The sequence below is a fragment of the Homo sapiens genome, chromosome 10, assembly GCF_000001405.40.
Source record: "Homo sapiens chromosome 10, GRCh38.p14 Primary Assembly".
NCBI lineage: Eukaryota > Metazoa > Chordata > Mammalia > Primates > Hominidae > Homo > Homo sapiens.
This window is the reverse complement of record NC_000010.11, coordinates 80,156,836-80,179,604: the sequence shown is the minus strand read 5'-3', so window position 1 is coordinate 80,179,604 and position 22,769 is coordinate 80,156,836. Positions and strand designations below refer to the sequence as shown.

Here is a 22,769-nt window from a genome sequence, read left to right as displayed (position 1 = left end):
ACACATTCTTCTTAGACTATAGGGTCGTTCTGGGTATGCTTAAGTGATTGCTGTCAGGTGCATCTGTCATACAACTGTGGGGGTGCCTAGGTCTAGTCTGTGTCCCTAGAGCTTACTATTGTGAAGAAGAGTATATTCGTCCATTCTCACACGACTATAAAGAAATATCTGAAACTGGGTAATTTATAAAGAAAAGAGGTTTAATTGGCTCACAGTTCTGCAGGCTGGGCCTATGCCAGGTTGAAGGGCCCAGAATATGGGAGCCAAGGTACCAGCATTTTTAGCCAGCTCTCCAAGTGAGGGAAAGCATGATGCTGGCATCTGCTTGGGGAGGCCTCAGGAAACTTACAATCATGTGGCAGGCAGATCTTAACCTGGCTGGAGCAGGAGGAAGAGAGGTGTGGGGAGGAGGCGCTACACGCTTTTAAACAACCAGATCTCACCAGAACCCTATCATGAGAACAGCACCAAAGGGGGAAATCTGCCCCCATGATCCAGTCAGCTCCCACCTGGCCCCACCTCCAATGCTGGGAATTACAATTCGATTGTATTGTAATTAGAAATTACAATTTGGGCAGGGACACAAATCCAAACCATGTCAAAGAGTGAGATCAGATGAGCTAGAGAGTGTCCAATACCTTAAGGGAAAGAGTGTTTCCTAGAGTGTGGACCACAGAACCAGTTACATCAGAATTACTGGGGACTGGGGGGTATGTATGCTTGTTTACACTTCAGATTCCTGGGCCTATCCCAGGTTAGAAGGCCCAGAATATGGGGGCTAGGGCGCTAGCATGTTTAGTGAGCTCTCCAGGTGATTATCATGCATGATGAAGCAGTGTGGCCTGCAGGCAGGCAGCATCAGCATCACCTGGGAGCCACTGGAAATGCAACTTTTTGGGCCCTGCCCCAGAGACACTGATTCAAAGACTCTGGAGGTGGGGCCCAGCAATCTGTGTTTTAACAAGCCCTATAGGGGACTGTTTTCCAGAAGCACCGATTTAACTGGAGAGGGCCCCAGCTGGATGAAATCAGGTGCACAGCTGCAGGTGGATGGTCGCAGTGAGGAAGGAAGGGCGGTATTTGTGCTGCAGCCTGCCCTGAGAGGCAGGACCAGAGGCCAGAAGGTCCCCAGAGACAGGTTTCTAAGAATTGGACCCATCCTTAAGGAGGCCAGCTGCCTGCTGTGTGCAGGAGGCCCTCTCCAGTGAGTCCCCATGTCAGAGGGCCGTGATTAGAAGCAGGCGTAGAGCGGGGGACATGCCCCAGCCATCAGAATTGCACCAGCAGTGTGAAGCATGTCTCTTGCCCCATGCAAGGAAAGGAGGAGAGAGGCATTGGTCAGGGTGAAAGGTATGATTCTCATGGATGCCAGAGAGAGAGAGAGAGAGAGAGAGCAGATCTTCTGGATTATAGCTCACTGTGTTGCCTCTCTCCTGGGGAGTGGGTGCTGGACAGGCTAGGGAGGGGGACCCGAGGGCCTTAGAAGTCTTGCCGAGCCCAGATATGGCAGCCCTGGGGTGCCAGGAACGACTTCTCCAAGGACAGCCCCTTGCGGTAGCCTCTTTTGAAAAAATGCAGAGGTCACAGTTACCAGAAGACTGGACCATGAGCAGATTTCTTAATTTTCAAAGAAAAGGAGGAGAAGAATGCTGCTTCTGTGAGTCAGAGAGCAGTGTGCTAATCCTGCAGCCTCTAGCCTCCTAGAACATGGATAGCTTGGGGGGAGATTGGTCAGCGCTGGGAGCCTGTGTCCACCTGAAGGTCACCCCTGGCTATTGGGCTGCGTTTACTTTTCTCCTGGGGGTAATTAGGCAGATAAACAGGCTCTCTTCAGAGTAAATGTGCTAGAACCCTCACTTGGGCATGTGGAGAAATGTGTACTGGGTGGTGGCAGAGTGAGTTGGGGGAGAGCTGGTTAAATGCCTGCACCCACATGATGCCTAGTGTTTGATGTTGAACTGGGGAGTTCTGAGTATGACAGTTCTGTAGTGTCCCTCGTTGTCCCTTTCGTCTTGGTTACTTGGCAGAACACAAATGCCATGCTTATTGCATCCATGGATGTAAAACAAAGCTGAGAGAGAGGGGGAAGATGTTTGATGTTGAGCAGAATCCCAGAAGGTCTCAGGAGACTGGAGCAATGGGCAGAACCCAGGGGAGAAATTTCACAGGAGCCCACATAAGGTCTCCGTGGCCTGAAAACCCACTTGTACCAGTCCGGGGAGGTAGGGAGTAGCATCCACTGGAGGGAGATGAAGGTCCCGCCCTGCACTCTTCAGACCATACCTGGGGCGTTTGGTCCTGAAAAGAACTAAAAGATAAGAGTGGGGTCAGGCCAGGCATGTAATCCCAGAACTTTGGGAGGCTGAGGCGGGCGGATCATCTGAGGTTGGGAGTTCGAGACCAGCCTGGCCAACATAGTGAAACTCTGTCTCTACTAAAAATACAAAAATCAGCCTGGTGTGGTGGCAGGTGCCTCAGGTGCCTGTAGTCCCAGCTACTTGGGAGGCTAGGGCAGGAGAATTGCTTGCACCGAGGAGGTGGAGGTTGCAGTGAGCTGAGATTGCGCCACTGCACTGCAGCCTGGGTGACACAGTGAGACTCCGTCTCAAAAAAAAAAAAAAAAGTGGGGAGCAGGCTTGAAACTATTTCAGGCAGAGAATGACAGAGGGAAAAATGAGGCTATTCTTTCTAAGAACGGAGGACTAGAGGTATATCTTGGGGAGAGGGGAAGACCCAGGGTCGCAGGACCACAGCTCACAGTGGGGTCGACCTGCCCTGTGGGGCCATGCAGGGCAGAGCTCCTAGCCAGGAGGCAGATTTTGACTCCTGCTGGGAACTCCCTTAAAAGCCACCCCAAGAATGAGCTCCACGAGCGCCATCAAGGCTGGCCTGCAGGCCCTCCAGGGTTACCAAGGCTGCCTGGAACTGAATGGACCCTGTGTGTGTTCTTTTAGTCTTGGAAGACCAGCCAGGACTTTGGGGGCCAGACGGCTAGCCTCAAGTGAGCTCAGAAATCTGCACCTGAATTGGGCCTTTTTAAAAGTTGTTTAATGGCCAATACATACATGCAGCAGAAATGCACAGGGAACAGATCTAAACCGGAAGCCTCATTTTCTAGCCCCACCTTTCCTCTCGAGAGGCAGCTAGTGTTAGCTAGTTTCTTGTGTGTCATTCCAAGGATGTCCGTGCACGTCTACACTCAGGAACCACTTAGTTTGTATGTTTCTGGGTTTTTTATTAGCTTAGTACATACACAGTACTGCACCTTGATTAATAATGGTGGTCATTGCATCTTTCCATATACAGAGCTGGCTAAATCCAGAAATAGCTACAGAGTATCCATTGTTGGATCTGTTGTGGTTTATTTAACCAGCCTCATTGGTGGAGGTTTAGGAGTTGTTGCAGATAAGGCTGTAGTAAAATTCATGTCTGTATGACATTTCACACAGGTGTGTGTCTGGGGAAGAGACTTACAGAAGTGGAGTTGCTGAGTCAAAGGTATGTCATTTTAAGTTTTGATATCTTTGTATTTTATTTATTTATTTATTTTGGAGACGGAGTCTCGCTCTGTCACCCAGGCTGGAGTGCAGTGGCATAATCTTGGCTCACTGCAACTTCCGCCTCCCAGGTTCCAGCCATTCTCCTGCCTCAGCCTCCCGAGTAGCTGGTATTACAGGCACCCACCACCACGCCTGGCTAATTTTTGTATTTTTAGTAGAGACAGTGTTTCACCATGGCCAGGCTGGTCTCGAACTCCTGACCTCAGGTGATCTGCCCACCTCGGCCTCCCAAAGTGCTGGGATTACAGGCATGAGCCACTGCGCCCAGCCGACATCTGTGTATTTTTAATTGGTGATTTCCTCAGCACATTGGTGAAGGTGAGCATCTTCAGCTCCTTTTCTGTAACTGCCAGATCTGTTCACATCATTTGACAGTTTCTCTAGTGGTTATTGATCTTTTTCTTATTATATTAATAAAACTTTTTTCCTAAGTTTTTTTCTCATCTTTATTTTTTTTTAATTTGTCTCTTATGCTGAAATTTTATTTATGTCGTTGGTTTTTGGGGCTACTTCTTTCACTGCATTATTTGGCCTGGCTGGAATTTACTTGGTATAAGGAACAGGGTGGTATCCAGCTTCTGTTTCTTGGGTTTTTTCCCTGGCCTGGCTGTGGATGGAGCTTTTGGCTTCATTTCTCTGAGAGGAGGCCAGGAGTGGAGAGTGTCTTTGGTGCTCAAAGGTCCTGCCTAGTGGTGTCTCCAGAGAGGAAGGTGACAGAGACACCATCCCGGCTCTTCCTGCTCACCTGTCGGGCAGTTCCTTCTATTAGAAGGTTCCTGGCCTACTGGTCATTTACATCCCCCAGATTACCTCCTCACCAGTGAAGTCTGAGGGTTTGGCAGAGTCTGGGCAGAAGGGTCAGGCTGGGGCCGGGACGGGGAGGGCTTTGTACTGACAGCCCACCCAGCCTCAGGGACACCCTCTCTGAAGGTGATGCCACCGGGGACCTCATCCACCACGTGCTTAGGGGCTCAGAGAGACCGAAAACTGCAAGGAGTAGGTCCTTGGTCCACACTACAGGGAGCCAATTCCAGCTTTCTCCAAAGCCATAGGGCTTTGCCTACGGTCACCTCTGGACCCACTGACCCAAACAAATGACTACACCCGTAGGGCTGAAAACCAGGCCCACCCTATGGGGACCGGTGGTACCTTAAGGAAGTTCTTTAGCTTCCTTAAAAACAGCATGTAGGCTGGGCACAGTGGCTCATGCCTGTAATCCCAGCACTGTGGGAGGCCGCAGCGGGCAGATCACTTGAGGCCAGGAGTTCAGACCAGCCTGGCCAACATGGCGAAACTCCATCTCTACTAAAAATACAAAAATTAGCCAGGGATGGTTGCGCCCTCCTGTTGGAGGCTGAGGCACAAGAATCCCTTGATCCCAGGAGGCGGAGGTTACAGTGAGCTGAGCTCGCACCACTGCACTCCAGCCTGGGTGATAGAGTGAGACGCTGTTTAAAAAATAAAAGTAGGCCAGGCATGGTGGCTCATGCCTGTAATCTTAACACTTTGGGAAGCCGAGGCAGGCAGATCACCTGAGGTCAGGAGTTCGAGACCAGCCTGGCCAACATGGTGAAACCCTGTCTCTGCTAAAAATACAAAAATTAGCCAGACATGATGGCGGGCGCCTGTAATCCTAGCTACTTGGGAGGCTGAGGCAGGAGAATCACTTGAACCCAGGAGGCAGAGGTTGCAGTGAGCCGAGATCACACCATTGCACTCCAGCCTGGGTTACAGAGTGAGACCCTGTCTCAAAAAAATAAAAATAAATAATAAAAAAACTTAAAAAGAACAGCATATACCAGCCTCGGCAACATAGTAAGACTCTCAAAAAAAAAAATTAGCTGTGTGTGGTGGCACATGTCTTTAGGAGGCTGAGGCGGGAGGATTACCTGAGCCCAGGAGGTCCAGGCTGCAGTGAGCCATGATTGTGCCAGTGCACTCCAGTCTGGGTGACAGAGCGAGACCCTGTCTCAAACAAACAAAACCCAATATGCCCAGTTCTTCAAGATAGATATGAAGGGCAGCTAGACTCTTATAGTTGGATAGCGTGGCTAGAACAGTGGTCTTCAAAGTGAGTTCCCTGGACCAGTAACATCATCTGGAAACTTGTTCCAAATGCAAAAACTGGTTCCACTGTCTCAGAAACTCTTGGTGGTGGAGCCCAGCAATGTGTTTTAACAATCCCATCAGGTGATTCTGATATGCATTGCAGCGTGAAACCCAGTGTGTAAAAAGAAGCCACATACTCGAGACGAGCAGGTGTGATTGTTGAGGGACCCTGCAGGTTTCCTCACATGTCCGCCTGCCATTGGGTGTCTCTGCAGACTGCAGCAGCAGCTGCTATTAGCAAGAGCAGGCAGGTTGCACAATGTGGCTGGTGTCACAGCAGATCTGTGTCCCTCCTCACAATTTAACTGGCAGGGGACATTGCCAAGGGATCCGTGTTCAGAGGGACTTCGTGAGAGCAGGTGTCTCACCTGGCACCTGTCCAGGCTGCTCTTCCTCCCTTACTGACAGATCTGCAAATCACTTACTTCTCTTAATCAGCAGCCTCTACTGCAGAAACAGGGTGATGCTGCCTCATTTGCCCTGGTTCTTCACCCTGCATCAGATGAACCTCCTGAGGGCCCTTTTTGCTTCTAGGAACGATGATTCCATACCTTACCAGGTCCCCTTGCCTGATGAACCAGAGGTTGGAGAATGAAGAGAGACAGGGGCCTCTGACTTCCCCTGTTGCTGGAGGGATGGCAATAAGGACACAGGAAGATAAATAGACAGACCTGGAGTCCTGAGAATGAGGCAGTGCGTCTCTACCTCTGAGGTGGGAGAACAGGCCCAGAGGCGCACTGCACCCTTGCCAGCAGAGGCAGGAGCAAAGCTTCAGTGAGAGGGCCTTTCAAGGAAACTGGCTCATGGGGAGTGAATCCTGTCACTGTGGGTGGGGCCGGGGGTGTGGCCCTGGCCCAGAAGTCAGGCAGCATGCTGGTGGGTACTGTTTCTAGCTGGAGGCACCAGCAGGAGACAGTGAACTGGTCTGCGACAAGCAGGGCAGATGCAGCAGTTTCTTCTGCAGGGTCCCAGTTGTGGTGGTGGCTGCCCTTTCAAGAAGCTGGGTCCCACGGGCCAGCAGGGGCTCTCAGGCAGAGCCTGAATGTGCTTTCGTCTTCTCTTCCAGATCTAACCATGAGCTACCCTGGCTATCCCCCGCCCCCAGGTGGCTACCCACCAGCTGCACCAGGTAAGAGGGTCTGGGGTGGGGAGGAGAGTGAATGCTGCCTCTGTACAGTGGCTGGGAGTGGAGAGGGGAGAACAGTAGTTTCCTCACTCCCCTCCTCCCCTCACAGCACGGCCCAGCAGGGGAGGAGAGGACAACAGGAGTAGTGGGACAGCCAGCCGAGGCAGGGGCTGGAGAAGAGCATGACACTAAGGCCATCGGAGGCCTAGGTTTGAAACTGCCTCCAGAAAGCCCTGGACCAGGCCCAGGGCTGGGTCTCTTGCCTTACTCTCTAGTAACAGTGGGCAAATGCTGTCACTTTGAGACTCAGTTTTCTTCTCCGCAAAATTGCTTCAAGGATTTCTCCCTCATTAGGTGGTCCTGGATACTGATGAGATAGGCAGGCAGAGCGACACGGTGTCCTCCAAAGCATTGCTAGGTGATGGTTGCCCCTTACCACCTCTCCTACCCTCTGCTCAAGGTGTGTGGGTTTGCAGCAACAAGATCCCCCTTGCCAAGAGAGGAAGTGGAGGCAGATGCTAAGGGTCAAAGGTCACTCCCTGTTTTCTGCAGGAGCTGTGGGTAGTCACATGGAGAAGTCGTCTTCTCTGGCCCTGGCCCCTTTTGGTCCTCAAATGAGATTTGGTCCCCACTGTGGGAAAGGAAATATGAGGGCTCATGAGACCAAGGGGAGAAAAGGGTCATTCCAAGGCTGGTCATCCTGAGGGTGCCTGAGCCGCTGCCCCTCTCCCCAGGGGACTCCTAGGCATCATTGATTTCTTTGGAGCTGAGGTCCTGTGGTTTGAACACCCCAGACCTGCAGGCCATTTACCTTCCCTCCCATTCAGCAGGTGAAGAACAGACTCAGACCTAGAGGTGGCTCAGCTGCTGTCCCAGGGCATGTTAGGGGCTGAGCTGGGCCACTGCCCTCTGAATGAGCCCACCCCAGGTTGGCTGGCACTGGCCTGGGTTCTCTCTCTATAGTAGAAATCCTGCCATCCAGATCCTGCCACTGCCACCTTTGCTAGCACAGCTGAGCAGCCTCTGAGCAGCAAGAGAGGAGGAGGCAGGAAATTTAGGGAAGGTTCTTCCTGGAGGGTCTGGAGCCCTGGAGATGAAGAGCCGATCCGAAGCTGCCATGTAGAGGAAAGCATCTAACAGGCCAGAGGCCCCATGATGATGTCGAATGCCCATCGGGCACCCAGCTGAGCCCTGCAGGTGTTAACTCAGTCTTCGTCACAGCAGTCTAGGCATACACTCACCATTAGCCCATTTGTAAGCTGAGGAAACAAGCCTAAGGAGGGTGAAAGCCTTGCCCCAGGGCACATACCGGTCCTGCTGGTTTCAGAGCGGGCTTTTCACCTCTGTTTCTTCCTGTCCTCTTGTGGACTGGTATCTGTGTTTACCATGACCCAGCCCCATGTCCCTCCAGCCTCTTATCCTGCTTCTCCCTGCCTTTTACAGACTTGTAATAGCAAACAGCCAAACCCCCTCCCGCCAGTGCCTTCGCATTACTGAAATCTCAGAGCTCCCTATGGTCACCTCTGTCATGGGCTCAGCATGGTGTCCCACAACAGTCTGTCCTTGTCTGTCCTCCTGCTCCATGATGGTGAACTTGGGAGGGCAGAGCCTGCCTGGGCTCTCCCAGCCTCCTTAATACCCCACAGAGGGTCTTGGGAGTGTTTGGGGAACTCCACCTTCCTCCCTGGGAAGAGGGGAAGGTTTCCCCTCCTCTGCCAGTGGGATAGGGGGAGACTTTCCTCCTGGTGTTTTCATGTGGTCTGTGGTGTCCCGAGGCTCGAGGCTCGAGGCTTTACTGGGCCTCCCTTTCTGACCACCTGGGAGCTCTCATCTCTGCCTTTCCCCGTGTGGTGGGGGACTGGCAGGGGGCTAAAGGGCTTGGTGTTGCTTTCAGGTGGTGGTCCCTGGGGAGGTGCTGCCTACCCTCCTCCGCCCAGCATGCCCCCCATCGGGCTGGATAACGTGGCCACCTATGCGGGGCAGTTCAACCAGGACTATCTCTCGGGAATGGTGAGTCCAGCTCTCCTGCTGAGGCAGCCCTGGGGCCACACCTGCGTGGCCAGAGGAATCAAAGCTGCTGGCCTCTGGGGCTCCAGAGTTGTCTATGTGTGTGTTGCTGTGGTGTGTAGTGTGTTGAGCTGTACCTTAGAACAGGGTTTTCATCAGGCTTCTGCCACCTGCTCTCTGCCCCTCTCTGGGTCTCACTTTTCCCATCTGTAAAATGAGGGGAAGGGGACCAGATGATCTCACAGGTCCCTTTCAGCCCTGAGGGGTTAGGGTTGGGAAGGTGGCGAGGGTATCTGCATGAGTGTGCATGCACGTGCTATGTATGAGTATCCACATTCATATACCTGCATGTGCATGTGTGTACATATGGAGGGCTCTTCTGGTTAGGCCTTGGTGGGTGTGTGGCAGGTATCTTGGGCAGACATGCTACTTTTTAAATTTGTTGTTTCACTTTTAAAATAATACATTTTATGATTTGAAAACAAACGTATGCTTAGTTTATGATTTGAAAACAAACGTATGCTTAGAGGAAATTATGCAACCAATACACACCCTAATTTGTGCCAGGCCCAGTTCTAGGCACTGGGGATATGTGAATAAAACAAACAAAAATCTCAGCCGTGCTGCACTTATCATCTATGGGGAAAAGACAGGCAGTACCTTAAGTCAACGATGTGATGTTATTGAAAGTGTAGGTGCCATAGGAACAAGTTGACCAGGGTAAAGGGGTCAGGAGTGGGGGTGGGGTGATGTAAGGATAATGATTTTAAGTTAGCAGTAAGGTGGGTCTGGCTGAAAAGAGGATGTGTGAGCAAAGACCTGCATCAGGGGAAGGAAGTGCTGTATGGATGTCTAGGGAATGCCGGTGCCCTGAGGTGCCAAGGGGTGTGAGGTGCTCAGGGACAGGGAGGAGAGGCCAGTGTGGCTAAAGTGGAAAGGCGAGGGGGTGAGATGGGAAATGAAGTCTGGGGGTCTAGCTCTTGCAGGGTGTAGGAGGCTATCCATCCTAAGGATTTAGGTTTTTATTCCTGGTGAGTGCAGATTCACCTGAACATGCCTGCCAGAGGTGTCTGTGGGTAGCAGGCTGATGTGATGGGGATGCCCCCAACCCTGCATATGGGACCCACGCACCTTCTTGGGCAGTGAGCTCTTAACCTTCACCCAGGTGGTCTGGGATGGGAGGAGCAACCATGTGGAGAGGGAAGGCATCTCCCCTGCAGAAGGGGATGAGGATCTCTGGTTTGGATCGAGTCGCACTGTTCACTGGCTGTGTAACTTTGAGCAAGTAAACTCATTCTGTGGTCTGTGAAATGGGTATAACGGTACTTCATATTCCACAAGCGGAGATGCTGTGAGGACTGACTTGGCTTAGGTATGAAAAAGGGTGGAGGGACGGAGTGCAGCAGGGCCCATTGGCCTCAGGCTCTGCTTTGTGTCCTTGCAGGCGGCCAACATGTCTGGGACATTTGGAGGAGCCAACATGCCCAACCTGTACCCTGGGGCCCCTGGGGCTGGCTACCCACCAGTGCCCCCTGGCGGCTTTGGGCAGCCCCCCTCTGCCCAGCAGCCTGTTCCTCCCTATGGGATGTATCCACCCCCAGGAGGAAACCCACCCTCCAGGATGCCCTCATATCCGCCATACCCAGGGGCCCCTGTGCCGGGCCAGCCCATGCCACCCCCCGGACAGCAGCCCCCAGGGGCCTACCCTGGGCAGCCACCAGTGACCTACCCTGGTCAGCCTCCAGTGCCACTCCCTGGGCAGCAGCAGCCAGTGCCGAGCTACCCAGGATACCCGGGGTCTGGGACTGTCACCCCCGCTGTGCCCCCAACCCAGGTGAGTGTCAGCCCACTGCCTCCCTTGGTCCAGGCCTGGGCCCCAAAGGCTGGAGACACATGGCTCAGTAGATGGGGAGACAGGGAAAGGCGCAGGCCTCCAGCTGCACTTCTTGTTTTAACAAATAGTGTCGGCCGGGTGCAGTGACTCATGCCTGTAATCCCAGCACTTTGGGAAGCTGAGGTGGGCAGATCGCTTGAGCCCAGGAGTTCAAGACCAACCTGGGCGAAATGGTGAAACCCTATCTCTACTAAAAATAGAAAAAAAATTAGCTGGGCATGGTGGTGCATACCTGTAGGCCCAGCTACTCGGGAGGCTGAGGTGGGAGGATCACCTCAGCCCAGGAGACAGAGGTTGCAGTGAGCCGGGATCATGCCGCTGCACTCACTCCAGCCTAGGTGACAGAGTAAGACCCAGTTTTTAAAACAAAAACAAAAACAAAAAAAGACAAACAAAGAGCGTCACCTTCTTGCAGACTCCCCACCTCTGGGTTGTGTTGCTTAAGGCCCAAGGGAGCTGTCCTGTTTCTCCTGGTGTGATGAGACGCTCCACATCCGAGTTGGGTCAGAACACCCCTGGCGAGTACTCCTTATTCCTCTGTGTCATTTACTGCCTGGGCTGTGTGTTTTGTAAGAACTGCCCAGGCCACCTGTCTCAAGGCTTTGTGCTCAACAGCTGTCTTCGGTCCCTTGATATGCACCACCCCCGCCCCCCCCGGCACAGACAGGTTTTGGAGGATTATTAAAATTCCCTTTGGGTAGGGAGAATGTTGGCAGTTCCTCCAGGGTTGATCTTGGCTCATTTTGGAGAACAGTTCGTGTTTGCAGAGCCTAGAATTCGTTGTCATGGTTCTGTGGCCCAACCAGCCAGCACAGGGGTAGTGGTATGTGCTCAATGACTATTTTTAGACAGAGGGTCTCCTTTCCTCCTTCCCTTCCATACCCACACGTTCCCCCACCCTGTGCCATCCTCCAGCCTCCCTCCCTTATCTTTTCCCTGAGCTGCCCTCTTAATTGTGTTATAACCAGTTTGTACCAGCCCCTAGGAAGACAATCCACTGGGAGACAGTTTAGCCTGGAAAGTTCCAGTTTGCGGGTTTGTGCAGCTATCAGGGTCTGGAGGAAGTCCGGCAGATGCTAGTCTAGAGAACAGTGCGAGGGAACCAGTGCTAGATCAAGAGGTCATCAGGCTGCCATGCACAGTTGTGGAGGCTCAATACCTGCATCCACTGGAGGGGACACATGGGCTAGCCAGCCCTGTTAGGAGTACCCATGTGTGCTCACATGTGCTGTGGAGGCCAGGCATCGATGAGAGAGGCCACAGCCCCTGCTCCCGAGACCTGCCCTTCATCAGGAGCCTGAGCCCCAGCCCTGGAGGACCTGGGCACTGGGCAGATTTTCAGCATCAGGACTCAGCTATAGGTGAGCTCCCAGCCACTGGAGCCAGGAAAAAGCTTCAGTACTAGAACACAAGGCCAGATAACAGTCAAGTTAGGTAGACGCGGCGTAAAGTCCTCTGCATTGTTGACTGTGGACTCCTTTAGATACTCCAACTCTTAGAGAAAGGGCTGTTCCCAGAGTCTAGGGGTGGAGCAGCCTTGAATGTGGGGAAGGCGGCATGCACGACATCTTACCTGAGACTGTTTGTCCGAGTAGTTTGGAAGCCGAGGCACCATCACTGATGCTCCCGGCTTTGACCCCCTGCGAGATGCCGAGGTCCTGCGGAAGGCCATGAAAGGCTTCGGTAAGAGACCCTGGGTGGCTCAAATCCTACTCCCTGCCCCCTATTTCCCAGGCAGTTTCACTGTGGCTCTGTGGGCTGGGGTAGCTGGGGGACGCTGACCTGGCCCCAGTGGTGATAGAAGGTGGATGTGGGGGTATGGCTAGCATGCCCAGAACAGTTGAGGGGCCCAGGCCAGGGAAGTCTCAGCTGCAGAGCATCTCATGACCCCTACCCGACCCACCCCTGCTGCCTCTTCCTCCAGGGACGGATGAGCAGGCCATCATTGACTGCCTGGGGAGTCGCTCCAACAAGCAGCGGCAGCAGATCCTACTTTCCTTCAAGACGGCTTACGGCAAGGCGAGCTGCGGGGTGGGGGCGCGGGACAGTGAGGCGTGTCCTGGGCTCAGCACAGCCCTGCTCTCCCCTGCTTTTCCTTGGGTGGGCCCGGATCTCCCGGATGGACAGTAAGGAGCAGGAGGGCATTTCCTTCTGCCCATCCAGCTGGTGGCATCGTTGGGAGGTGAAGGATGCCACCGGGTGCTGAGGTTTGCTGAGAGGCTCCAGACATCTATCCCTGGGTTCTAGCCCTTGCTCTGCCACATCTCACTGAGGTTGTGGCCACATCATTTTCCTTCCCCTGCCCTCTTCATGACCACCCTGGGGGGTTTAGCTGATGTAAGAGCTTTGCAGGGAAAGGCTGTGAGTGCTGCCCAAGTACGAGGGGCGTGTATGAGCATATTTTGAACTTCTGGGGTTTTGAATCTTAGAAAGATAAAAATTCGGTAAATATTGATTAGATTCGTGTTCTAGCCCAGTGCTTCTCAAACTTCATTGTGTCACCGATCCCCTGGGCATCTTGGTAAAATGTGGTCTCTGATTTGGGAGGTTTGGGGCAGGGCTGAGAGCAGGCTTTTCTCTCAGGCCCCTGGGGGATGTCCATGCTGCTGTTCCTCAAATCTGGGATATGGCTCTTATTAGTCACTTCCTGTGGATTTTTTAAATAGACTTGTTTTTTTTTTTGTTGGTTGTTTGTTTGAATATCCAATCAGGATTTGATCAAAGATCTGAAATCTGAACTGTCAGGAAACTTTGAGAAGACAATCTTGGCTCTGATGAAGACCCCAGTCCTCTTTGACATTTATGAGATAAAGGAAGCCATCAAGGTGTGTACGTGTGTGTGTGTGTGTGTGTGTGTGTGTGTGTGCGCGCGTGTGTGCGCACGCGCGCATGCGTGTGGACACACAGCCCAGAAGGAGGCCTGGATGGCGTGCTGTGTTCTAGCCCACTCATTAGCTGCTGTTGTCAGTATGGCTCCCAGGCCTTCCTGGGTTGGAGTCCACATGCTATAGAAAAGGGAACTCCCTGTGATTTCCCCAAGAGGCAAATGACGCACCAGTCATCATCAGGGAGGCTTAAGTCTCTCTCCATCTTAAAGAAAAGGGGGAGCTCGGGTTTGAAGGTTGCGATTCTGTGGTAAGAAGAGGGGTAGGAGGCCATGGTTGGTATCGTTCTCATTCTTTAGGACTCTGTTACTAGCAAATGACAGAAACACACTTCGGTTTAAGAACAACAAAAGTGGAGAATCAGTCATGTGGGTAAAGAGGGCCCAGGCCAGACGTCTCTCTGGTCTCTGTCTCTCCTGAGCGCCCGCTTTTCTGTCAGTTTCTGTGCTTCTCCTACCATGGCTGCTTCATGTGGGGTGGGAGAGGGGGCCTGTCGACCACTCTCCGCATAACTATGAGACCCAGCTCCAGAAGAGACCAGCAGGGTCTCCAAACGGGCAGGTTCTGACGGGCCCGGCTTGGACTCACTGTTCCCTCCAGTCCTGCGGGTTTTGACTGAGGGTTGGGTCCTGTCCATTCTGTGCAGTCCCACAGCTCTGTGTGCACCCTGCAGGCAGGGGCAGGCAGCTCCCTTGGAAAGGGAATCCCATGAGTCAGGCTGGAGCCCAGAAGGAGCCTGTCACTCAGAGGCCTGATAAGCACAGTGAATGTTCCCTCCTTCAGGAGAAGCAGAGACTTCAGTGTGGTGGCCTGGAAAGGAGAGGGGTCTCCGCTGAAACACATCTACATGTGTTATTCTAGGGAGGGGGTCAGGAGGCCATCAGGCAGGGCGATGGCCCGGGGCCCCAGGGAGTGGACCCAGACATCTCCCTGGCCCCCGTCTTCAGCCGGAGTCATGAGCTGGTGGTTGTGGAGTGTTAGAAACCACACAGGTTTGGGGCAGCTGTCACTCACCAGCTGTGTGTCCTTGAGCACCTGTGAAATGGGGACAGTGGATGCTGTCTCAGGACATGCTGGGAATACTGGGTGAGGGGCTAACGTGTAGTAACCCAATAGTAGCTGTAGCAGGAAACAGCTGACACAATGTCGCACGTCCTGCCTGACAGGCCCTAAGTGCTCTACGTACATTAACTCACTTAATCCTCATGACTTTCCTGTGAGGTAGGTCCTAGTATCACTCCCATCTTACAGACAAGGAACTGGAAGCACAGAGAGGTTAAGTAATGTGCCCGAGGTCACACAGCTGGTAAGCTGCAGAGCCAGGATTCAAACCAACATACAAGCCAGGCTGCCCAGCCTGTCCTCTATGGTCTTACTGTCCCTGGCGTGGTTGTCCGATTCATCCTTGTTGTTCCTACCTTTTCCTAGTTGTTTTCAGACATTCCACCATCCCCTCTAGGACCAGGGTTTCGTATGTCCACTTGGATCTCTCTTGCTTTTTACCCATTTTTTTCAGTTGTTGTCATCTCGCTTCCGGCTGAACTCTGAATAAAGCAGGCCTCGGTCCACATTTTAACCCAACCATTTACTGTGTGGCCTCGGACCAGCCAGTACCCCTCTCTGATGCTCAGTTTTCTGATCCATGGGGATGCCCCTTTGTGTGAGCCCTACTCATCACCACTGCCACTGTCATTGTGCTTGCCCGGGCTGTGGAGAAGAGCTGATGCCCTCGAGCCTGGGAGTGGCTGGAGGGTGTGTCTCTGTGTCAGGGGCCTCTGTTGCTGGGATTAAGGCAGCAGCGTAGCCCCCACCCTTCTTCCCGAGTGCTGGTGAGGCTGCTGGAACAAGCACATGGTTGGTTGTATTCTCTGCCCCTGCAGGGGGTTGGCACTGATGAAGCCTGCCTGATTGAGATCCTCGCTTCCCGCAGCAATGAGCACATCCGAGAATTAAACAGAGCCTACAAAGCAGGTGAGGCCGCTCCCTCTGCCCTCTGCCCTCTGCCCTCTGCAGATCCCTGTGCTCTTGGGGCTGTGGCCTCATTCTCTCCTAGGGCCTTTTACTCCTTCCTGGCCTTCTTATCAACCCATCTTCTGCCACCCCCAATACTTTGGGCTTTGACCCAAGACCCAGCCCTTCCTTCTGTTTATACATGGTGCAAATGACTAATGTAAGGGAGAGGCAGGGAAAACCTGGATGTGGTTTGGGCCAAGGCTGACTAGAGGCCAGGTCAGCCTGGAGGTCACAGGCTTGTATATCCCTGGAGGGCCATATGGGCTATTTGTTCTCTTGAGCCCGAGCCAAGACCTCCAGCCTTTTTCTCCCCAGTACCCACTTTTGATAGTGTTTTGCAATGGGCAGCTCCATAAAGAGAGCTACAGGATGGACCTTCCTTGCTTCTCCCTTTCAGAATTCAAAAAGACCCTGGAAGAGGCCATTCGAAGCGACACATCAGGGCACTTCCAGCGGCTCCTCATCTCTCTCTCTCAGGTACTTTTCCCACGACAGGGCTCGGGGCCCCCAAGCCATGGAAGTCAAAGAGATGGGATCCCCGCAATGAGGAAAGGGAAAATAAATGGGGAAGGAGTGGGCATGACCATACACCTGCTTCCTTTCAGGGAAACCGTGATGAAAGCACAAACGTGGACATGTCACTCGCCCAGAGAGATGCCCAGGTGAGTGTGATGGCCAAGCCCCTGGACTTCCTAAAGCAGGGATGCACCCCGCTTTCTTGCTTCCTGAGAGAGGTACCCTAGGGTGGAAAGAACAATAGATAAGCAGTGGGTTGCAGATGCTGTGAGTTTCAGACGCGCTGAACTGTTCAACTGTATGACCTAGAACAGGTAATCTGACCTCCAGGGCTTCAGCTTCCCCACCTATAGGAGGGAACATGTGAGATAATTAGTATTTCGATAGTTGATAGATCATGGTTTTGGACGTGGGATTTTGTGTGACAGCGTACTTTCCCCATGTTTAGTTGCACATAGCATTATGTTTGCAAAGGGGCAAAATTTGCACTTGCTTATTAAGTTTTTGAGGATTTGAGCCTAGAAACCAGCTGCCACATTAGTTGAGCACCCTTAGAATTCTGTCGTTGTCCCTCTTGTGAGTTGCAGACAAAAGGGGAAAAGTCCAAGCAAAGTCCAGGCATCTGAGCTACTCTCTCGAAAAGTTTGGGTTTCCCACTAATGAATTTCAACCGTAGTATTATGGCAGGGCAGAGCCATTACTTCCTGGTGGGGTGGAGTTGGCCATACCTCTCTGTCTCCCTTCACTGCTCTTGTCATCCACGGCAGGGCATTCACCAGGAGCTGCCAGTGGTCTAAATTATCTCTACCATCTGCGGGATTGGAATGAGACCTCAAGGAATGCCCCCTTGTTAGGGCTGGAGGAGAGCTACTCCTCTGGTCTGGTCCTTTTGCTGGTCCTCCTTTTCCGGAGGAGGAAACTGAGGCTCAAAAAGGTTGAGCACTGTTCCCAACTGAAAGCTAGAAGCAGAGCCCGGACAAGGGCCTATACTCCTGGCTCGGTCTTCTGTGCCCAGTCAGCACTTGCCTCTGCCCTGGTCTCAGACCTGCTGCTCCTGCAGGGTCTGCCTTATTCAGTGTCTCTCTGGCTGGTAACATCCATTCCCATTCTGGGAGTCAGGGCTGGACACGCCTGGGGCTCAGGGCTCTGGCTTTTGCTCCAGCGAGAGTTTTGCATGCCACTTTTAGCGGGGCAAAAATTGTCTCATGCTCTGCCTTCTCAGTCCAGAGCTGCTTTGGCCTCATCTTGACCTGTGGGATCTCAGCCCCTGATTGCTGCTTTCTGCTCTTTTTCAGGGCTGCTACCTGAGGCCTAGCAGGCACTTTAGAGGCCATCTAGTTCAGAGGTTGCAAATTGGCAAATACTTTAGGCTCAAACCTTCAGAAGTTTACCAGGCTCTCCTGGGTGACCTGGGCCTGGGGTCTGGGTGTGGCCTGTGCCACATGTGCGTCTTCCTCTCTCTCCAGGAGCTGTATGCGGCCGGGGAGAACCGCCTGGGAACAGACGAGTCCAAGTTCAATGCGGTTCTGTGCTCCCGGAGCCGGGCCCACCTGGTAGCAGGTAAGGCAGGCTGGGGTCCCTCAGAGGCCAGTTAGATGAGGGCAGTCAGGGGATTGTGGGGAAACAAAGCTATGGGAACACTTGGTCGTTCCTCCCTGCGTGGGGCTTTCGCCTCCTCAAAAGAGCCCCCTGGTGGGAATTTAAAAGACACTGTCAGAGGGTTTCCTGAGTTCTGGCAAACATCCAGTTCTGGAGGTTCTACCGGTGTAGAAACCTGGTGTCTTTGTACGTGGGAATGTGGAACGTCAGAGTTGGGAGGGTCCTTCGGGAGCACCCAATCCAGTGTTTTCCAAAGCCTGGCATAAGAAACAGTCATAACAATAAAACTGGGTGCCATTCATTTACTCATTCATTCAACAGATGTAAATCGCGCTCCCGCATGGGTCAGTCTGTCAGGTGGTGGAGCAGGTGTGGGGCCACGGTGGGGGGCAGGGCACTGCAGAGTGTGTTCCATGGGCTGCACTTTCTCATTTGGGGAGACAGACAGTAAACAACAATGAAATAAAATCTGTATCAGATGGGAAATCCTGTAGAGGAAAATCAAGCTGGAAACAGGTAGGGAGTGATGGTAGGGTCCACCGGGAGGTGCTTGGGCCAGTCCCCACTGAGGTCGTGACATTTGATTTAAAAACCTAAAGGGAGATGCAGGGGCAGAGGCCTGCCTGGGGCTCCCAGCACGACTGAGAACAGTGAAGGGGGACCATGTGGAGCAGGTGGAGTGAGCAAGAGGAGTGGGAGGTGAGGGCAGAGAGGGGAGAGGGCCCTGCTGATGACTTCCCGGAGCTGGGTATTTATCCTGAGCAAAAGAGGAAGCCAGTGGAGGGCCCTGAGCAGAGGAGGCTGTGCAGAATCCCTGGCTGTGGTGCCGAGAATGGAGTGAAGGGTGCAAGGCCAAGCAGCGAAGCCTGTCGGGAGGCTGCTGCAGGGACCCGGGGAGGAATGGTGGTAATAGGGGCTTGTGGTGAGGAGGTGTCAGGTTCCGGCCATGTTTGCTGATGAATTGGACACGTGACGTGTGGGAGAGAGAGGGTTCGAGGATTATACAGGGTTTCTTTAGGCCAAGCAGTGGGAGAATGGCCCTCAACTGAGACAGGGGGACTGTAGGTGGAGCTGGCTTTAGGTGCCTGTAGGGTGGAGCTGCAGGGAGGCTGCTGGGTTGCTGAGTGTGGAGGTCAGGAGAGGTCTGGCCTGGTTGTGGAAGGTAAGGGAGCTATGGGTAGTTGAAGTTATCTGAGGCTCTGGGACTGCAGGAGGTCCCCTCAGGAGGGAGACTGTGGGGAGCCCACCGGTGTGAGGAGACTAAGAAGGAGCAGCTAGGGAGGGAGGAGGACGCAGAGGAAGGGGGTCCTGGAGGCCAGTGTGAGGTGGCAGGCAAGGACTGAGGATGGTGACCACACGGAGCAACTGGTGGGCTGTGGCCAGGGCTGCTCCAGTGGGCAGTGAGGGTGAAAACCCAGCGACCGCTCTGTGCTGCACACAGAGACAGGCGCTGTGGCTCTCCCCATTCGCAGCTGTGAAAGCAGGCACAGGGTGGTAGAGGAAGTAGGGGTGCACAGCTAGTAACAGCTGAGCTGGGATTTGAACCCAGACCACCCGACCCCAGAGCACACTTTTTAACCTCTGCACTATCCTGTAATGGAGCCTGAGTGAAAGCATTTTCATCTTAATCATTATTTCTTTTAATGAGTACAGAACATGTAAGTAGTGCATCAAGCCCATGGCTTCACAAACATTATTACTTAGGAGAAAAGAGTAGCTGATTGGAAGAAGATATTAATTGAGACAGATACACACAGAGCAGAAATCACAACTTTAAAATGCAAATGGTAGCTGAGACTCAGGCTGGGGAAGGAGAGTTTTATGTCCTGGGTCAGAACTGGAGTCAGGACCAAGGTCTCCATCATGCCACCTGTCTCTCTAGGAGCCAGCCATCCACTCCTGTGGGTGCTTAGCGTGTCCTAGGTCGAGGTGAGCAGCAAGAAGCCAGGCTGGCTGGGGCAGGCTGGGCCTCAGCTCACAGGCAGGCTGAGGAAGACAGATGGATGCATGAATAAAGCCAAGGAATGGCAGAGACTGGAGGTGTGGAGGATTTGAGAAGAGGGGACACTGTCTTGGAGTACATGGGAGTGGGCCCTGGAGGGGTATTAAGGTGCGATTTGGTTAAGCAGATTGGCAGTCCTGAGAAAGGGACCACACAGGGAGGGACATCAGGTGGTGCATGTAACTTGTGACGAAGACTCTGACTTCCTTGAGCGCTAGCAGGCCTGGGGACGTGCAGGGTGTGGGAGCAGAGTGGCAGGTGGGAGATTTTGGGGCAGAGGCCACCTCATGTGAGTCCTCTGTTAGTCTGCTCATGCTGCCATGACAAAATACCACAGACTGGGTGGCTTAAGCAGCAGATACTCATTTTGTTACAGTTTTGAAGGCCAGATATCCAAGAGTGGGGTGCCGGTTTCTCCCGTGGCCTCTTCGTGACAATCACTGTGCTCACATGGTCTTTCCTCTGCATGTGCACATCCCTGGGATCTCTGTGTGTGTCCTAATCTTCTCTTCTTCTAAGGAGACCAGGCGAATTGGATTAGGGTACACCCTAGCAGCATGTTTTAACTTAATTACCTCTTTAAAGATCTTATCTCCAAACACGGTTATATTCTGAAGTCCTGGGAGTTGGGACTTCCACATATGAACTTTGGGGAGACACATTTCAGTTCATAATATAAGCCTCTGTCATCCCCATAGTTTTCAATGAGTACCAGAGAATGACAGGCCGGGACATTGAGAAGAGCATCTGCCGGGAGATGTCCGGGGACCTGGAGGAGGGCATGCTGGCCGTGGGTAAGTGTCTCAGGTTTGCCGCCCACCTGCCAGGGGCTAACGTGTATCGTGAGTGTTCAGGCTGCTCGCCTGTCCTCCAGCTGATGGGTGACACCGTGAAGGGACCACAGGATCCAAGATCGCTCAGCCCAGAGTGTCCAGATGCTGGGAAGTCATGCTGCTTCCCGGTTCCCTGTGCAGTTGAACCCCTAGCTGTCCTGGAGGTGTCTTGTGTGTGTTTGCGGTGCAGCTCTGGAGTAGGGAACTGCAGTGTGGGTATTAGTGGGAGGGCATCCAACTGCGCTCCCGGAGGAGTATGACTCATATCCTGCCACGTTTCCTCTAAAAATACATCCCTGCAGGCAGTTGTCAGATGTTTGTGATGGAAACACGTGGAAAGATTTTTACTTGCAGCAGCGAAACAGGCCCATGCTGAGGAAAGCTGGCTTGGCTCCAGGATGGTGGTGTGCCTCTTACATTGCCCATGTCCTCTAGCAGGGCCCTCCCACTGTGCAGAGTTGGGTCCCTGCCCTGAGGCCCTCACAACCCCTCTTTCTACTCACTTGGGAAAATCAGTCTGCCCCTTTTTTCATTATGCTTTTTTTGGAGCTTTCTGGATGGGAGAGATGGAAAATCCTCATTTCCCTGCCTGTCCCCCATAGTAGGTCTCATGGCCTGGGAAGCCTAGGGAGATGCACATTCCACTCAGCCACGGTTTCTCCATGACGGTCATGGCCTCTCCAGTCTGCCCCTCCTGCCTGAGCAGCAGCACAGTTCCTCATCACCATCCACATTGCTTCCCTGTGTAGCTCCTAGCCCCACTAAGACCCCCGCCCCTCTGACTCTTGGTCCTTTCACCGCAGTGGTTGCCAGGAAAGAGGGTGGGTTGGTTTCCAGGCTTTGCGTGTTTCTGTTCCAAATAGCTGGAGCCAAGATCATGGGATAGTTGAGCCTGGAACAGAAGGAGGAGGAGAAAAGATGGATGCAGTGATGGGTTTGACATCTGGGCCTCTAAGAGGACACTTGTAGACTCCATGCCCTGCTTGGGCTGAGAATTTTCTGCAGATCTGGTTATGCCGAGTTTCTCTCTTCTAGTGAAATGTCTCAAGAATACCCCAGCCTTCTTTGCGGAGAGGCTCAACAAGGCCATGAGGGTATGTAACTTCCATGTGCAGGTTGCGATGGAACCTTAGCCTCGCCTGTGCCTGGGACCAAGGGCTGAGGGCAGAAGGCCTGGGGAGAGCTAAATCTCAGCTGAGAGTTCCGAGGACCTGGGTAGGGAGGGGACTGGAGGGCCCAGGGCAGGTGGGAAGGTGAGGAGGCCTGGTGCTCATGCTCTTGGGTGGACTCTCTTTAGGGGGCAGGAACAAAGGACCGGACCCTGATTCGCATCATGGTGTCTCGCAGCGAGACCGACCTCCTGGACATCAGATCAGAGTATAAGCGGATGTACGGCAAGTCGCTGTACCACGACATCTCGGTACGGGCCTGCTGCAGGCCAACTGGGCTCCCTTTTGGCATCTCAGTCACCTGTGGAACCTCCCTCCTTGGAGTGGCCATATGCTTGGCCTCTGTGCTGTGTGTGGGCATCTTGATTATGGACCTCGGACTTGTTCATCCCCTTGCCCTTAAACAGATTATAAATTTCTGAGGGCAGGTGGATCATGACCTTGCTGTCGCCCCCACCTTGCATCCCCCAGCAGCATCAGAGAACACTCGGGACCTCCCCAACCTTGACCGTGACCTTCAGCGTTCCGATCACCGTGTGATTCCTTGATCTGTCAGTGAGAACTCATGTCCCAAAGGCTCTGTGGAGCTCTGCTGTCACTCCCTGACAAAGCACTTCCTGCACTCAGCTTTATGGCGTAGGCCACATAGTAAGGCCGTTCAGAGCGAGGGCCCTGGGGGTCACGCCACTTGGAGTCCAGCTTTTCTACTTGCTAACTGTGTGACCTTGAATGGCTCCCTTAAATCTCCCTGAACCCCAGCTCCATTGTCTTTAAGATGAGAAAATAATCGTTCCTTCCTGGGAATGTTGTGAGTATTGAGTGAGGCAGTGCAGGTCAAGTGTCTATTAAACACTAGCCACAGTTGTATCGCTGTGTGGCAGAGCCAGTCTGACAAAATACATTCTCAGCTGTGTGGTCTAACGCTCAAATTCTGAACTCACATGAGCCTTGCAATTGCACCATGGGGACCACGTCCTCCCACCTTAGACTCAGTAGCATTTGATGATGGTGGGCATGTCATCACAGGAAACTCACTGTGTTTCCTTGGCTGTATGA

General features: G+C 53.1%; 1 protein-coding gene across 11 annotated transcripts in view, besides 8 other annotated features; it reads left to right on the top strand.

The window, feature by feature from the left end:
- Positions 1-22,769, top strand: part of ANXA11 (annexin A11) — a 54,920-nt gene that overhangs the window by 26,204 nt on the left and 5,947 nt on the right. For 4 of the 11 annotated variants that reach the window (NM_001278407.2, NM_145868.2, NM_145869.2 and 1 more), the window contains 14 exons: positions 3,450-3,498; positions 6,736-6,798; positions 8,690-8,805; positions 10,247-10,636; positions 12,292-12,379; positions 12,621-12,715; positions 13,408-13,521; positions 15,462-15,552; positions 15,992-16,071; positions 16,200-16,256; positions 17,577-17,670; positions 20,410-20,505; positions 21,580-21,638; positions 21,842-21,964. In NM_001278407.2, coding sequence (NP_001265336.1) covers positions 6,744-6,798; positions 8,690-8,805; positions 10,247-10,636; positions 12,292-12,379; positions 12,621-12,715; positions 13,408-13,521; positions 15,462-15,552; positions 15,992-16,071; positions 16,200-16,256; positions 17,577-17,670; positions 20,410-20,505; positions 21,580-21,638; positions 21,842-21,964 — 1,458 coding nt within the window. In that variant the 5' untranslated portion in view covers positions 3,450-3,498; positions 6,736-6,743. Of the gene's footprint in view, positions 1-3,449; positions 3,499-6,735; positions 8,806-10,246; positions 10,637-12,291; positions 12,380-12,620; positions 12,716-13,407; positions 13,522-15,461; positions 15,553-15,991; positions 16,072-16,199; positions 16,257-17,576; positions 17,671-20,409; positions 20,506-21,579; positions 21,639-21,841; positions 22,611-22,769 lie in introns of those variants that run through there. The other 7 variants (XM_006717813.3, XM_047425140.1, XM_047425141.1 and 4 more) reach the window with 5 other exon arrangements.
- Positions 1,161-1,661: an enhancer, noted in NCBI's record as "H3K4me1 hESC enhancer chr10:81937700-81938200 (GRCh37/hg19 assembly coordinates)". NCBI's record gives its function as "activates a minimal SCP1, AML or CMV promoter by ChIP-STARR-seq in naive H9 embryonic stem cells {active_cell/tissue: H9 hESC(naive)}" and the evidence as "EXISTENCE:reporter gene assay evidence [ECO:0000049][PMID:30033119]".
- Positions 2,181-2,680: an enhancer, noted in NCBI's record as "H3K4me1 hESC enhancer chr10:81936681-81937180 (GRCh37/hg19 assembly coordinates)". NCBI's record gives its function as "activates a minimal SCP1, AML or CMV promoter by ChIP-STARR-seq in primed H9 embryonic stem cells {active_cell/tissue: H9 hESC(primed)}" and the evidence as "EXISTENCE:reporter gene assay evidence [ECO:0000049][PMID:30033119]".
- Positions 2,681-3,182: an enhancer, noted in NCBI's record as "H3K4me1 hESC enhancer chr10:81936179-81936680 (GRCh37/hg19 assembly coordinates)". NCBI's record gives its function as "activates a minimal SCP1, AML or CMV promoter by ChIP-STARR-seq in primed H9 embryonic stem cells {active_cell/tissue: H9 hESC(primed)}" and the evidence as "EXISTENCE:reporter gene assay evidence [ECO:0000049][PMID:30033119]".
- Positions 7,304-8,229: an enhancer, noted in NCBI's record as "H3K27ac-H3K4me1 hESC enhancer chr10:81931132-81932057 (GRCh37/hg19 assembly coordinates)". NCBI's record gives its function as "activates a minimal SCP1, AML or CMV promoter by ChIP-STARR-seq in primed H9 embryonic stem cells {active_cell/tissue: H9 hESC(primed)}" and the evidence as "EXISTENCE:reporter gene assay evidence [ECO:0000049][PMID:30033119]".
- Positions 10,309-10,428: a silencer, noted in NCBI's record as "silent region_2543". NCBI's record gives its function as "represses an Ori minimal core promoter by ATAC-STARR-seq in GM12878 lymphoblastoid cells {active_cell/tissue: GM12878}" and the evidence as "EXISTENCE:reporter gene assay evidence [ECO:0000049][PMID:35858748]".
- Positions 10,499-11,027: an enhancer, noted in NCBI's record as "H3K4me1 hESC enhancer chr10:81928334-81928862 (GRCh37/hg19 assembly coordinates)". NCBI's record gives its function as "activates a minimal SCP1, AML or CMV promoter by ChIP-STARR-seq in naive H9 embryonic stem cells {active_cell/tissue: H9 hESC(naive)}" and the evidence as "EXISTENCE:reporter gene assay evidence [ECO:0000049][PMID:30033119]".
- Positions 20,224-21,423: an enhancer, noted in NCBI's record as "CDK7 strongly-dependent group 2 enhancer chr10:81917938-81919137 (GRCh37/hg19 assembly coordinates)". NCBI's record gives its function as "activates an origin of replication core promoter dependent on BRD2, BRD4, P300/CBP, MED14 and CDK7 cofactors, with strong dependence on CDK7, by STARR-seq in HCT116 cells {active_cell/tissue: HCT116}" and the evidence as "EXISTENCE:reporter gene assay evidence [ECO:0000049][PMID:35650434]".
- Positions 20,585-21,126: an enhancer, noted in NCBI's record as "H3K4me1 hESC enhancer chr10:81918235-81918776 (GRCh37/hg19 assembly coordinates)". NCBI's record gives its function as "activates a minimal SCP1, AML or CMV promoter by ChIP-STARR-seq in naive H9 embryonic stem cells {active_cell/tissue: H9 hESC(naive)}" and the evidence as "EXISTENCE:reporter gene assay evidence [ECO:0000049][PMID:30033119]".